At 48.2% G+C, this 15,000-nt stretch overlaps 1 protein-coding gene and 2 pseudogenes across 4 annotated transcripts in view, besides 1 other annotated feature; all 3 read right to left on the bottom strand.

Moving 5' to 3' along the window:
- The window catches only part of HM13 (histocompatibility minor 13), a 55,102-nt gene extending 53,980 nt beyond the window's left edge, over positions 1 to 1,122 (bottom strand). For all 4 annotated transcript variants that reach the window (NM_178580.3, NM_178581.3, NM_030789.4 and 1 more), the window contains exon 1: positions 830 to 1,122. In NM_178580.3, the coding sequence (NP_848695.1) occupies positions 830 to 1,012 (183 nt within the window). In that variant the 5' untranslated portion in view covers positions 1,013 to 1,122. The remainder of the gene's footprint in view (positions 1 to 829) is intronic.
- Positions 456 to 525: a silencer, noted in NCBI's record as "silent region_12757". NCBI's record gives its function as "represses an Ori minimal core promoter by ATAC-STARR-seq in GM12878 lymphoblastoid cells {active_cell/tissue: GM12878}" and the evidence as "EXISTENCE:reporter gene assay evidence [ECO:0000049][PMID:35858748]".
- CD24P3 (CD24 molecule pseudogene 3) lies at positions 4,127 to 4,722 on the bottom strand (annotated as a pseudogene).
- TRS-AGA7-1 (tRNA-Ser (anticodon AGA) 7-1) lies at positions 14,593 to 14,664 on the bottom strand (annotated as a pseudogene).

Below are 15,000 nucleotides of genomic sequence, written 5' to 3'. Positions count from 1 at the left end.
TATGGGGAGAAGGGCTACTTTGAGATAGGGTCAAAGGCTGGGTGGGAAAAGGGTTACAGGTTAGGAACAAGGTCTAGGTTTTGACTAGGCCATGTCCAAGGTTGGATGGTAGTTAAGAGAGGAAACCAGGAAAATAAGACGTCCATGCCTAGTTGGAAAGTAGAGGCACCAAGATGCCAGCTTCTGAGGAGCCAGCTGACTGGGATGGTTCCAGAAAGTGATGTGAAAAACTGGGCTCTAAGAGATCATTGTTTTTGAGGCAGGGGCAAGGGCCAGGTGTGGGGGATCTAGGTGAGCACATAAGGTGCCATAGATTCCAGTGAGACAGGAGTCAGAGTCTAGGGATGGGTCTGGATGGTAGAAAGGGCCCTGCGGTGGGCTGAGGCAGGGTTCCTAACAGGGAATGACACGAAATTGTACCATTCAGTAAGTTGTGAGGACCAGTATCCATCAGGTATACATGATGGGGCTGATCTGCCTGGGCCCAACAGGCTCAGAACAATCAGTGCCCGAGTCGCAGTGGGGGACGGGCTGACAGCGTTCCCAGCCGCGGCATGATGCACAGGGAGGGAAGTGTCAGGGTCCGGGTCGGGAGCAGAAGCAAGTTCCTATTGGGGAAGGTATCATACCCTGGTCGGGGGTCGGTGCCCAGATCCCGGGGTAGGAAATGCCAGCCCCGGAATGTGGGCCCGAGACAGAGGGAACGGTGGTGATCAGGGCTGGGAAGAGTCAGTGTCCGGGGAGAGGTGTCTGTCCCGCCTAGGAAGGGTCCATGTCGGCCGTGTTCGGTATGGGGGTGGAAAGTGCCCGGTTTTCCCGCTGACCCTACCTTGCCGCGGGCGCAGCGTACGGAGCGCAGGGCGCCGAAGAAGATGGGCAGCAGCGCCATGAGCAGGAGGCTGCCGTAGGCCAGCGCGATGCCCTCGGGCGTGGAAGGCGGCCGCGTAGTGCTGTTGGTGGGGCCGCCTGCCTCGGCACTGCCGTTATGCGGATCGCTGAGGGCCGAGTCCATGGCGAGGGTGCGTTCGGGATCCGACTCCAGCTCCGGTTGCTGCAGCAGGGACGCAGGCGGAGACACCGGCTCTGCAGGGAAAGCCACGTTCCCCTAAGGCAACAGGAAGTGACGTGCTCCCTCCCAAGCCCGCGCCGCGCACGCGCGCACACACGCTTGCACGCACGCGCGCGCGCGTGCACGTCTCCCCGCCCGCTCGCCCTCTAGCGGTGGCCGAGGGCCGGGCGGCGGGTTGCTAAGCAACTTGTTAGCGGTCCGGACAGGGGCTCTGGGCCACTGCGGTGGGCATGCGACCCGAATGCCCATTTCCCAGTCCCAGCCGGTCTCCTCAATCCCCTGCTGTCCACTCTCCGCAAATCCTCATATTCCGAATAACTAAGAATGTGTTTATTCATACATGCATTTATTGGGTATCCAATTGTTTATTCACTCCTTAAATATTTATTGAATGTCCCTCAATATGCCAACAACTGACCTAGGCTCTGGGGACACTGAGGTGAACAATACAGGCAAAAGTTCCTCCTTGCCTTCGTGAAGTTTGCATTTTAGTGCAGTGTGTGTGGGGGGACGTTGGGAAGACAATAAAGAAACTGAACAAAATAAAAGTCTGTAAAATGGGCTGGGCGCAGTGGCTCACGCCTGTAATCCCAGCACTCTAGGAGGCCGAGGCGGGTGGATCACCTGACGTCACGAGTTCGAGACCAGCCTGACCAATATGGTGAAACCCCGTCTGCACTAAAAATACAAACAATTAGCCGGGCGTGGTGGCACGCACCTGTAATCCCAGCTACTCGGGAGGCTGAGGCAGGAGAATCGCCTGAACCCGGGAGGCGGAGGTTGCAGTGAGCCAAGACTGAGCCATTGCACTCCAGCCTGGGCAACAAGAGCGAAACTCCGTCTGAAAAAAAAAAAAAAAAAAAAAAAAAAAAAGGCCAGGCGCGGTGGCTCACGCCTGTAATCCCAGCACTTTGGGAGGCCGAGGTGGGCAGATTGCGAGGTCAGGAGATCGAGACCATCCTGGCTAACACGGTGAAACCCCGTCTGTACTAAAAATATAAAAAATTAGCCGGGCGTGGTGGCGGGCGCCTACAATCCCAGCTACTTGGGAGGCTGAGGCAGGAGACTGGCTTGAACCTGGGAGGCGGAGGTTGCAGTGAGCCCACTGCACTCCAGCCTGGGCGACAGAGTGAGACTCTGTCTCAAAAAAAAAAAAAAAAAAAACAAGAAAAATTTGTAATTTGTAAAACGTTAATGTATAGTTATGTGTTACATAGCATGTTAATGCAGATAAATAGAGAAAAATAAAGCAAAAGAAAGTAAGGTGTGTGTGGAGTTTGCAAATGTATTGAGAGCCTACTATGTGCCAGGCAATTATAATACCTTACGAGTTCATGCCCCTGTACAATTTATAAAGCTTTGTGGCTCTTTTCAGAATTTGAAGAATCTGTTTATTTATGTGATTCTTATTTTTGATATTGTTAAAAAAGTTAAAAATATATATTTTCTTAGACATGGGGTTTTGCCATGTTGGCCAGGCTGGTCTCAAACTCCTAGGTTCAAGTGATCCTCCTGCCTCAGCCTCCTAAAGTGTTGGGATTACAGGTATGAGCCACTGCTTGCAGCCTACTGTGGCTATATTAGATACTGGAACATCTAAGCATCACTGTGTGACTGTGCAAACAAAAAACTTCAAGGAGGGCCTATTATTATTATTATTATTATTATTATTTTGAGACAGGGTCTCACTCTGTCACCCAGGCTGGAGTGCAGTGGCATGATCACAGCTCACTGCAGCCTCTACCTTCTGGGCTTGGGTGATTCTCCCACCTCAGCCTCCCCAGTAGCTGGGACCACAGGTGTGTGCCACCACGCCCGGCTAACTTTTTGTGTTTTTAGTAGAGATGGGGTTTCGGCATGTTGCCCAGGCTGGTCTCAAACTCCTGGGCTCAAGCAATCTGCCCACTTCGGCCTCCCAAAGTTCTGCAATTATAGGCATGAGCTGCCACCTCCCGCAAGAGTGCCTATTTTATTTTATTTTATTTATTTTTTATTTTTTTTTTTGAGATGGAGTCTTGCTATGTCACCCAGGCTGGAGTGCAGTGGCACGATTTCGGCTCACTGCAACCTCCAGCTTCCGGGTTCACGCCATTCTCCTGCCTCAGCCTCCCGAGTAGCTAGGACTACACGCACCCGCCACCACGCTCGGCTAATTTTTGGTATTTTTAGTAGAGTCAGGGTTTCACCGTGTTAGCCAGGATGGTCTCGATCTCCTGACCTCGTGATCCGCCCGCCTCGGCCTCCCAAAGTGCTGGGATTACAGGCATGAGCCACCGCGCCCGGCCAAGAGTGCCTATTTTAAAAAAGATTTCTATGTGTTGAGGCAGTTGTTTACTGCAGAATTAAGCCCACTTTAGGCTTACTACCAGCTTCTATCTAAAAATATTGACTGATAACCGAAAGTGTTCTAAAGGTGGTTATTCTGATCTATAGTTTTTTTGTTTGTTGTGAGACTGAGTTTTGCTCTTTTTGCTCAGGCTGGAGTGCAATGGCGCAATCTCGGCTCACCACAACCTCTGCCTCCCTGGTTCAAGCGATTCTCCTGCCTCAGCCTCCCGAGTAGCTGGGATTACAGGCATGCGTCACCACGCCCAGTTAATTTTGTATTTTCAGTAGAGATGGGGTTTCTCCATGTTGGTCAGGCTGGTCTCGAACGCCTGACCTCAGTGATCCACTCGCCTCGGCCTCCCAAAGTGCTAGGATTACAGGCGTGAACCACTGCGCCTAGCCTCTGATCTATAGTTTTTTAAAAAAGTATTTACAGAAAGTATAGAAGTTTTTGTGAATTTAATACAAGTTAGCCTCCAATTTTCTCTTCTCAAATGTTTGATTTATAGTTTTTGCTCCTTTACATATTTGCTTTTTTAATTTCAAGATTTGTAATTTTACCTTCAAAACAGTTCATTTTTAAAATTGTAAAGCATGTTTAACATACGCAGAAATAGGCTGGGTATGGTGGTTCACGCCTGTAATCCCAGCATGCTGGGAGGCCGAGGTGGGTGGATCGTGTGAGCCCAGGAGTTAGAGACCAGCCCGGGCAACATAGCAAGACCACATCTAAAAAATAAATAAATAAATAAAAAAAAGTCAGTATTTTGAAATTATTTGAGCTCAATGCAGTTCTACTCTTTGGAAGCAGATTAGCTAACTGAATCTGGTGCTCTTGTTGAATAGAAATAGGTGATGGGAAATGTCTATCATTTGACTTTATAAGGATAAGCAAGATTTACCATGATGCTTTGATTTGGGGGTGGATTCCAGTCCATCATTGCCCTGGCACATGTCAATTAGTACACACAAAATTCAATGTCAAATCCAGAGCCTCAGAGGAAAAAATTTATTCCCCAAGAGAACAATGATAACATAACAAAGTAAAATGTTATCTAGATTATATTGGTATTAAAATTATCTCTTATATAAAGTATATTGACTGTAACTATACATAGAAGATTCATAGTAACACCTGGAAGTTCCTTCTCATGTTATATATAAATTGAATTATGAAAGCTTTTTATATTACCTGTTTATGGCCTTATAGATTTAATGTACCAAATGAAAACTTCCCACTCTACCTCTAGATAAGATAAAATCTATATTTATTTTCAAGGTAGAGTTTTAAGTGGCCATATTTCTTAAGCCGTATTCAAAGGAAAATTTTATTTCAAGGCACATTTTCACTCTGTCACCCAGGCTGGAACACAATGGCATGATCACAGCTCACTGCAGCCTTGACCTCCTGGGCTCAAGCGACCCTCCCACTTCAGCCTCCCGAGTAGCTGGGACTATAGGCATATACCACCATGCCCAGCTAATTTTTCCATTTTTTATAGAGATGGGGTTTCACCATGTTGCCCAGGCTGGTCTTGAATTCCTGGGCTCAAGCGATCTGCTCACCTTGGCCTCCCAAAGTGCTGGGATTACAGGCATGACTACCATGCCTGGCCACTCAAGGAAATTGTGTCTTAACTAAGTTTGAATGCTGTTCCTCTTCATTTTGTATATGAAACTTCAGCTGATTTAATATTGACATTCATCATCTAGTCAAACCCTTCACATGTTCTTCAAACCAACCAAATTTGGGGTTCTTGACATTTTCTGTGTCAATAAAATTAGATGTGGATCTTATCTTTTTTTTTGAGATGGCGTTTTGTTCTGTCACCCAGGCTGGAGTGCAGTAGTGTGATCTTGGCTCACTGCAACCTCTGTGTCCCGGGCTCAAGCAATTTTCCTGCCTCAGCCTCCTGAGTAGCTGGGACAACAGGCACCCGCCATCACGCCCGGCTAATTTTTGTGTTTTTAGTAGAGATGGGGTTTCACCATGTTGGTCAGGCTGGTCTCAAACTCCTGACCTCGTGATCTGCCCGTCTCGGCCTTCCAAAGTGCTGGGATTACAGGCGTGAGCCACCACGCCCAACCAAGATGTGGATCTTATATTTTATTTTGAGATGGAGTCTCGTTCTTTCGCCCAGGCTGGAGTGCAGTGGCATGATCTCAGCTCACTGCAAGTTCCGCCTCCCGGGTTCATGCCATTCTCCTGCCTCAGCCTCCCAAGTAGCTGGGACTACAGGCACCCGCCACCGTGCCCGGCTAATTTTTTTTTTTTTTTGTATTTTTAGTAGAGACGGGGTTTCACCGTGTTAGCCAGGATGGTCTTGATCTCCTGACCTCATGATCCACCCGCCTCGGCCTCCCAAAGTGCTGGGATTACAGGTGTGAGCCACCACGCCTGGCCTGTATCTTATTTTATCTAGATCTACTAGATTTGATGAAGACTTGTTTTTTCCTTGCCATACTGGCCTTCTAGATGACCTTTGAATTGAATTTAGAAGATGGGAAAGTGTAGACCTGTCTTGGCCTGAGTCTTTTTTTTGAGATAGTTTCACTTTTTTTTTTTTTTTTTTTTGTTTTGAGATGGAGTCTAGCTCTGTTGCCAGGCTGGAGTGCAGTGGCACAATCTCGGCTCACTGCAACCTCCGACTCCCTGGTTCAAGTGATTCTCCTGCCTCAGCCTCCCCAGTAGCTGGGAATACAGGCATGCGCCACCATGCCTGGCTAGTTTTGTATTTTTAGTAGAGACAGGGTTTCTCCATGTTGTTGAGGCTGGTCTTGAACTCCTGACCTCAGGGGATCCACCTGCCGCGGCCTCCCAGAGTGCTGGGATTACAGGCGTGAGCCACCATGCCTGGCCTGGCCTGAGTCTTTTAACAGCAGAGAAGAGGAAGAGAGTGAGACCCTGAGGAGTGAGGGGGGAGACTGGCTGTTGACTGCAGGACACTGTCAATGCCTTATTGGTGGCATTCGCTAGACTTGGGGGCAGCCGTTATTCTGGAAGAAGTTACTTAAAAGTTAGAGCAGTTGTTTGAGCTGTATAAATCTGCATCCGTAGGAGCAGTGCCAGAAGTTGCAGCCCCTGCTGGAGCCTGGCTACCATTGCTCTGCCCATGCCTGCTCCAACCGTGCTGGGTGCATCTCACTTGATGCTGATGCTGGGTGTGTAGAGAACTGCTGGCTCAGGGCAGCTGCAGACAAGGTTGATGCTGCATGACTTCTGAAGCGAGGTCAGAAGAGGCCAAACAAGAAGATAAAATATTTTAGAGGAAATTAAAGAAAAAGGAAATAAGGAAGAAGCCAAACAGCTTCCACCTTGTTCAGTGGAACAATTGCTCAAGGACCTCTGAGCCACTTTTAACAAGTCTGACTGCCCAGAGACTGCCATGTTGTAAGGAAGCCCAAGTCACATGGAGAAGCCATGTGTAGATGCTTCAGTCAGCAATGCCAGCTGAGTCCAGTCTTTTTGTTATCTCAGTCCAGGTGCCAGACATGTGAGTGAAGAGTCCTCCAGATGATCCCAGTCCCCAGCTGCTTGAGTCACACTAAACCATCAAGTCTTCCCAGCTGGGGCTCCAGAGAGCATGGAGCAGAGTCAAGCCATGCCCACAAAGTCCTGTCAAAACTCCTGATCCCCAGAATCAGTAAGTTTGACAAAATAGTTCTTTTGGGAGTTCCTCTTTATGCAGCAATAGATAACCAGAACAACATGTCAGTTATGATTAGGTTTGGCTGGTTGCATGCAACAGAAAACCTCCAAATAACAACAATTTAAAACAGATGAACTTAAAGAGGCCAGGCGCAGTGGCTCACACCTGTAATCCCAAAGCTTTGGGAGGCCAAGTGGGCGGATCACCTGAGCTCAGGAGTTCAAGACCAGCCTGGCCAAAATGGTGAAACCCTGTCTCTACTAAAAATACAAAAATTAGCCAGGCATAGTGGTGTGCACCTGTAGTCCCAGCTACTCGGGAAGCTGAGCCATGAGAATTGCTTGAACCCAGGAGGAGGAGGCTGCAGTGAACCGAGATCATGCCACTGCACTCCAGCCTGGGTGACAGAGTGAGAGTCTGTTTAAAAAAAAAAATTTAAAACAGATGAATTTAAAGAAATGTGGAGTCAGGCAGCTCAGGGCCAGTACAGCAGCTCCATGGCTATCGGGGATCCAGCTCCTTCTGTCTATTGTATTCATCGTTCTAGCATAGGACTTCCATCCTCAAGGTCACCTCATGATCTAAGAAGGATGCTAAAGCTCTGGACACCTTGTTCAAATTGTAGTCTGGAAGGAGGAGGAAAGAGCAAAAGAGTTTTCATCCCCTCCCCTCTGACAATCACTCCAGGAGTTCTATATAATGCTTCTACTTACATTTAATTGGCCAGACCATAATTACCTGGTCATGTTTAGCCACAAGGGAGGCTGTGTGCACTCTATTAGTGGGACAGCATTAAGCTAGTTATTGGAAATCTTGCAATTGCCTAGATAAAAATGGAATATTATTTTTTTTCTTTTAAAAAAAAATATGCCAAGCTGCGCCAGGCGCAGTGGCTTACGCCTGTAATCCCAGCATTTTGGGAGGCTGAGGCGGGTGGATCACCTGAGGTCAGGAGTTTGAGACCAACTTGACCAATATGGTGAAACTCCGTCTCTACTAAAAATACAAAAATTAGGCCGGGCGTGCTGGCTCATGCCTGTAATCCCAGCACTTTGGGAGGCCGAGGTGGGCGGATCACCTGAGGTCAGGAGTTTGAGACCAGCCTGACCAACATGGAGAAACCCCGTCTCTATTCAAAATACAAAAAAAATTAGCCAGGCGTGATGGCGCATGCCTGTAATCCCAGCTACTTGAGAGGCTGAGGCAGGAGAATTGCTTGAACCTGGGTGGCGGAGGTTGTGGTGAGCCGAGATCGCGCCATTGCACTCCAGCCTGGGCAACAAGAGCAAAACTCCGTCTCAAAAAAAAAAAAATACAAAAATACAAAAATTAGCCATGCGTGGTGGTGTGTGACTGTAGTCCCAGCTACTCAGGAAGCTGAGACAGAATTGCTTGAACCCAGGAGTTGGAGGTTGCAGTGAGCCAAGATTGTGCCACTGCACTCTAGCCTGGGTGACAGAGCAAGACTCTGTCTAAAAAAAAAAAAAAAAAAAAAAAAAAAAGCCAAGCTGCAGAGTGCAGGAGTTTTCTTACAATGAAAGAGGAGGAGAATGGAAGTTAGGAGGCAACAGCAGTCTCTGCCATTGAAGGGCTCCCAGTGGAGTGGGCATTTGAACCAAATCTTGAAGGATAAAGGAGATTTTATTTTCTATGTTTTATTTTTTTTAATAGCTAATGTACGGCCGGGCGTGGTGGCCCAGGCATGTAATCCCAGCACTTTGGGAGGCCGAGGCGGGCGGATCACGAGGTCAGGAGTTTGAAACCGGCCTGGCCAACAACGTGAAACCCCATCTGTAATAAAAATTAGCTGGGTGTGGTGGCGCATGCCTGTAATTCCAGCTACTCAGGAGGCTGAGGCACGAGAATCAGTTGAACCCGGGAGGTGGAGGTTGCAGTGAGCTGAGATCGCGCCACTGCACTCCAGCCTGGGTGACAGAGTAAGACTCTGTATCAAAAAAAAAAAAAAAACCAAAGGAATGAAAGAATGGTTACTCCATAGGCAGAACAGCTGCATGGGCTGCTTGACTGAGTATATTTATAGTTATTTCTGGATTATATATTAAACAAGGAGTGGATTATCCATGAGTGTTCTGGGAAAGGGGTGGGCAATTCTTGGAGCTGAGGGTTCCTCCCCTTTTTAGACCATAAAGGGTAACTTCTGGACATTGCCATAGCATTTGTAAACTATCACGGCATGGGTGGGAGTGTCTTTTAGCATGCTAATGCATTATAATTAGCATTTAATGAGCAGTGAGGAGGACCAGAGGTCACTTTTGTTGCCATCTTGGTTTTGGTGGGTTTTTGCCAGCTTTTTTACTGCATCCTGTTTTATCAGCAAGGTTTTGTGACCTGTATCTTGTGCTGACCTCCTATCTCATCCTGTGACTAAGAATGCATAACTGCCTGGGAATGCAGCCCAGTAGGTCTCCACCTAACTTTACCCAGCCCCTACTCAAGATGGAGTTGCTCTGGTTCAAGCACCTCTGACAAAGGTATATATCAGAAGTCTACATAGCAAATCTAACAAGGTCATTTACATATTAAAGAATGTACGTCAAGCACATTGGAATGGTTGCCTATAGAGGGTTGGGAATGAGAGTGGCAACTGGGATTAAAACAACAAAAAAATAGGTACGGAAGTAAAATAAAGCCGGGCCCTTTTGGAAAATGGTGATGATAGGCTAGGAGGAAGGAATGAGTATAATGAACTTGTCACTCTGCTCCTTTCAAAATAGAAAACAAAAGGGAAAATTGAAGACTTTAAGAGAAAATTGTCATTTCAGAGTTCCCTTTGTTCTTTGTTGAGTTGGGGATGGAGGCTAGATTTGCAAAGGGAATGGGAAGTGTCAGAGAGAGAACCTCTGACAGACTCAGGGTTCTGTGATTTGCAAGGGCTGGAAGCACAGTTTGAAACGCTTTAGGCGAAGGCTGGAATGCATTGGCCTCTTGAACTCCAAGGAAGAGGTGAATAACCAAACCCCTGCAAGGACAGGCAGGGATGGAATTGGGCCTCACTAACCCCTGGAAGCCAGGATGTCCATGCTGCCAGGATCCTCTCTCTGCATCTCCTTTCTGTTTTTATCTGCTTTGTCTTCATTCTCTTTCACAGAAAACCAGGCTTGCTACAAACAGCAGCCCTCAGGAACTGAGTTAACATGTTATGATTTGCTGCAGGAACCTAGAAGCTCCCAGATCTGTGAGCTTCCTTGGCTCAAGTTGGTCAGGGGAGTCTTGAAGGGTGTCCAGTTCTACTCTCAAAGGCCTCTGGGGTGGGTGGTGAGGCTTCTGTTACACAGGCTGAACCTGAGGTCAGTGAGGATTTCCATAATCTCAGACCAAGCCATAAGATGTTGAATGTCAGGCCGGGTGCGGTGGCTCACGCCTGTAATCCCAGCACTCTGGGAGGCCGAGGCGGATGGATTACCTGAGGTCAGGAGTTCGAGACCAGCCTGGCCAACCTGATGAAACCCCATCTCTACCAAAAATGCAAAAAATTAGGCGGGTGTGGTGGCGCATGCCTGTAATCCCAGCTACTCGGGAGGCTGAGGCAAGAGAATCACTTGAACCCAGGAGGAGGAGGTTGCAGTGAGCCGAGATTGCACCATTGCACTCCAGCCTGGGCAACAAGAGTGAAACTCTGTCTCAAAAAAAAAAAAAAAAAAAATCGACGGTCATGGGATGAACGTCAGGGTCATAGAATGAATGCTAGCCTCACAATGTATCTGGGTAAAAATGCTGTTGTCCTGATACTGGTATTTTTCCTAGGGAGGGGACAGTATATATATATGTACATTACACGAAGATACCATGGCAACCTGCTTGAGGAAAATGTGAGCCCTAAGCACCCTGGCTGGCAGGGCTGAAATGGCAAATCTGCTTTGCATTAGAGGTGAACAGGAATTTGTGGGAAGGAGAGAAGTAGCAGACAGAAATATAAGGGAGCGGCGGCTGGGTGCAGTGGCCCATACCTGTAATCTCAACACTTTGGGAAGCTGAGGAGGGAGGATCTCTTGAGGCCAGGACTTCAAGACCAGCCTGGGCACACAGACTCTGTCTCTACCAAAAAAACAAAACCCAAAAAACCAAAAATTAACCAAGTGTGGTGGCACGCGTCTGTAGCTACTCAGGAGGCTGAGGTGGGAGGATCATTGAGCCCAGGAGGTTGAGGCTGCAGTGAGCTGTGATTGTATCACTGCACTCCCAGTCTGGACAGAGGGAGACCCAGTCTCAAAAAAAAAAAAAAAAAAAAGAAATGGAGCTGAGGATGTGGAAGGAGAGGAGCCAGTGAGATGGATGGCATGAGGCTGGGACACCAGTAGAGACGGGGAAACATTCCCAGTAGGAGGGTGGCCAAGTGCCTTGTTTGTGGGGCTCTGATGTGAGCACCTCTGTTGTCTTGCATCTTCAGGACAGTTTTCTACATGGACAGGGTGCCCTGGTGGGTGGGGCTGTGTATTTCTCAGGGATGTCCCCATCCGGCTCAAACACTGAGGAGAAAGGATCTTGGAATCAGAGGACACCACGAGGACTCCGGCTGCTGAGTGGGAAACGGATTGGCCAGGACAAGAGTAAAAGTGAGTAAATAGACTAAAGAAGTGATGTTTGTGGCTTTGACTGGGAGTGGGGGCAATGGAGACAAAGAGAGGTGGACAGGATTAAGATAGATCTAGGATATTTCCAATTGAGGATTGTGTTTAGGAAATAGGGTGAAAAGGACTCCCTGATGGGATGTGAGGGAGGAGGAAGTGTGAAGACTGTGTCTTGGGTTTCTGAGCTGACCTACTGCATGATGGATGTGCCAGGACCTGAGATGGGGAAGATGGGTAGGGTGGAGGCACCGTCCCTGTCTCCACCTGGAGTTGTTTCTTTTTTTCTTTTTCTTTTTTTTTTTTTGAGATGGTGTCTTGCTCTGTCACCCAGGCTGGAGTGCAGTGGTGCAATCTCAGCTCACTGCAACCTCCGCCTCCTGGGCTCAAGCGATTCTCCTGCCTCGAGCGCCACCATGCCCGGCTAATTTTTTTGTGTGTTTTTAGTAGAGACGGGGTTTCACCGTATTGGCCAGGCTGGTCTCGAACTCCTGACCTCAGATGATCCACCCACCTCAGCCTCCCAAAGTGCTGGGATTACAGATGTGAGCCACCGCGCTGTTGACCCACCGTGGTGGCTTTGGGAGGCTGCAGCTCCCCTTGCTCAGGTGCCCTCTCCTGCCAGCAGAGGGCAGCATAAGCCAGTTAACAGACAGTCCCCGCTACGTGGCCGGGTTCTGGCCGGGCCGGAACACTGGGATGAGGGCCACCACTTGGACCTGGCTCATGGGGAGGCAGCAGGCCACTCTGAGGCTCAAATGCAGTCTTTGACTTTAAGGCCAATTCCAGCCACAGAAATTTGGGGCTGTTCATATCTAAGGCTGCTGGCCAATCCAAGCCAGCCCATCTCTCCTGGGCTCTTCAGCAGCTTCCTAATTTGTCTCCTGGAGTCCCCTGCACATTGCATCTCTTTGCTTGAAACCCTTCGATGACTCCCCGGTGCCCCTGCCCTCAAGATAACTTCACGCTCTTCAGCATGGCCTAGTTGTCCAGCTCATTCATTGCACATCTTCTTTTGCGATCCAAGCTCTTTTCTGCCTCAGACCCTTTGTATAGGTGTCCCCTGCCTGGTGTTCTCTCTCCCTGCTTTTTTTTTTTTTTTTTAATTATTATTATTATTAAGGTAGCTCCTTCTTATGGGTCCTAGTTTCAAACTCACTTTCCAAGTGGCACGATCTCGCTCATTGCAACCTCCATCTCCCAGGTTCAAGCGATTCTTCTGCTTCAGCCTCCCAAGTAGCTGGGACTACAGGCACCCACCACCACACCCAGCTACTTTTTGTATTCTTAGTAGAGATGGGGTCTCACTGTGTTGCCCAGGCTGGTCTCAAACTTCTGGGCTCAAGCGATCCTCCCGCCTCAGCCTCCCAACGTGCTGGGATTATAGGCATGAGCCACCGCACCCAGCCCCTGACCACTTTTCTATCTTTATCTGAGTTACTTAAAAGGCAAACAAACCCTCACAGCACATAGCATTTACGTACCAGGGTGATTTGATGTATTATTAATACTTTGCATCTTTCTCTCTCTATTTGTCCCTCCCCTTTCTGTACCCTCTTGCCTAGGGGAGGTTTGGTTCTAGGGCCCAAAGCAAAAGCTGCTTCCAAGACTCTTCCCTTTCTGGACTCCACTTTCTATAAGCTTAAACACTGTAGAGCAGATATTGTAAATTGTCAGTTTTATAGGCCCAGTCCTGCTCACAGATGTGTTTTGTATGACTTTTGCCAAGGTTTAAAAACTGGCTTTGGTTGGGCATGGTGGTGGTTTGTGCCTGTAGTTCCAGCTATTTGGGAGTCTGAGGTGAGAGGATCGCTTGAGCTCAGGAGTTTGAGATCAGCCTGGGCAACATAGCAAGACCTCGTTTCTCTACAAAACACTAAAAAAAAATAGCCAGGCTTGGTGGCATGTACCTGTAGTCCCAGCTACTCAGGAGACTGAGGCGGGAGCATTGCTTGAACCTGGGAGTTTGAGGCTGTGGTGAACTATGATTGTGCCACTAAATTCCAGCCTGTGCAACAGAATGAGATATCGTCTCTAAAAAACAAAACAAAACAAAACAAAACAGAAACAAAAATCTGGGTTTACTTAGCTACCAAGGTTAAAAAATGGAGCAGTTTCAGAATAAAAATTTGGATAGTTGCTTTCTTTTGAACATTTAGTAGGTCTGGAAGTCTTGGCCCTGTATTTTCCTGTGATGGGTGCTAACATTTACTGAGTAACTACTAATGTCAGGCACTGTCCTAAGTGCTTTCTCATGTGAAGCTGCCGTACCTACCGGTACAAGTTTTGTTTTGTTTTTTTGGGACAGGGTCTCACTCTGTCACCCAGGCTGGAATGCAGTGGCGTGATCTCGGCTCACTGGAACCTCTGCCTCCTGGGTTCAAGTGATTCTCCTGCCTCAGCCTCTGGAGTAGCTGGGATTACAGGCATGTGCCACCACGCCCGGCTAATTTTTTTTTTGAGACAGAGTCTTACCCTGTCATCCAGGTTGGAGTGCAGTGGCGCAATCTCAGCTCACTGCAAGCTCCGCCTCCTGGGTTCACACCATTCTCCTGCCTCAGCCTCCCCAGCAGCTGGGACTACAGGTGCACGCCACCACACCTGGCTAATTTTTTTGTATTTTTAGTAGAGATGGGGTTTCACCGTGTTAGCCAGGATGGTCTCGATCTCCTGACCTCGTGATCCACCCGCCTTGGCCTCCCAAAGTGCTAGGATTACAGGTGTAAGCCACCGCGCCCAGCCTAATTTTTGTATTTTTAGTAGAGACAGGGTTTCACCATGTTGGCCAGGCTGGTCTCGAGCCCCTGACCTCAGGTGATACGTCTGCCTCGGCCTCCCGAAGTGCCGGGATTACAGGCGTGAACCACTGCACAAGGCCACAAGTATTATTCTTTTTCATAGTTTAGGAAACAGGTACAGAGAGGTTAGGTGACTTGCCTAAGGACTCACAGACAGCAAAGAGTGGCACCAGAATTTGAACCTGGGCAGCATAGCTCTAGAATGCAGCCCCTAACCACGAGGCTACATTACCTGATAAGTTTGGTAAGCTAAGTTGTGCTGACCTTTTTTTATTGGGAAAAAAAAAAAACTTTTTTTGGGGTAGAGATAATGTCTAACTATGTTGCCCAGGCTGGTCTTGAACTCCTGGCCTCAAGCCATCTTCCTGCTCCAAAGCCCTGTGATTATAGATGTGAGCTATTGCACCTGGCCTATGCTAACCTTTTTAGGCAAGGCATGTGCTCTCAGGTCACCAAGTCTCATACTTTTTTTTGTTGCTATCTGCTTGGCCCCTGGAGACTTGGAGTTTGCAAATGCTTGGTGCTCATTGTTTTTGAGGGCAGAAACAGAAGAACAGAAAGGAGGTGTC

This window comes from Homo sapiens, chromosome 20 (genome assembly GCF_000001405.40).
Source record: "Homo sapiens chromosome 20, GRCh38.p14 Primary Assembly".
NCBI lineage: Eukaryota > Metazoa > Chordata > Mammalia > Primates > Hominidae > Homo > Homo sapiens.
This window is presented reverse-complemented; position numbering and strand designations above follow the sequence as displayed.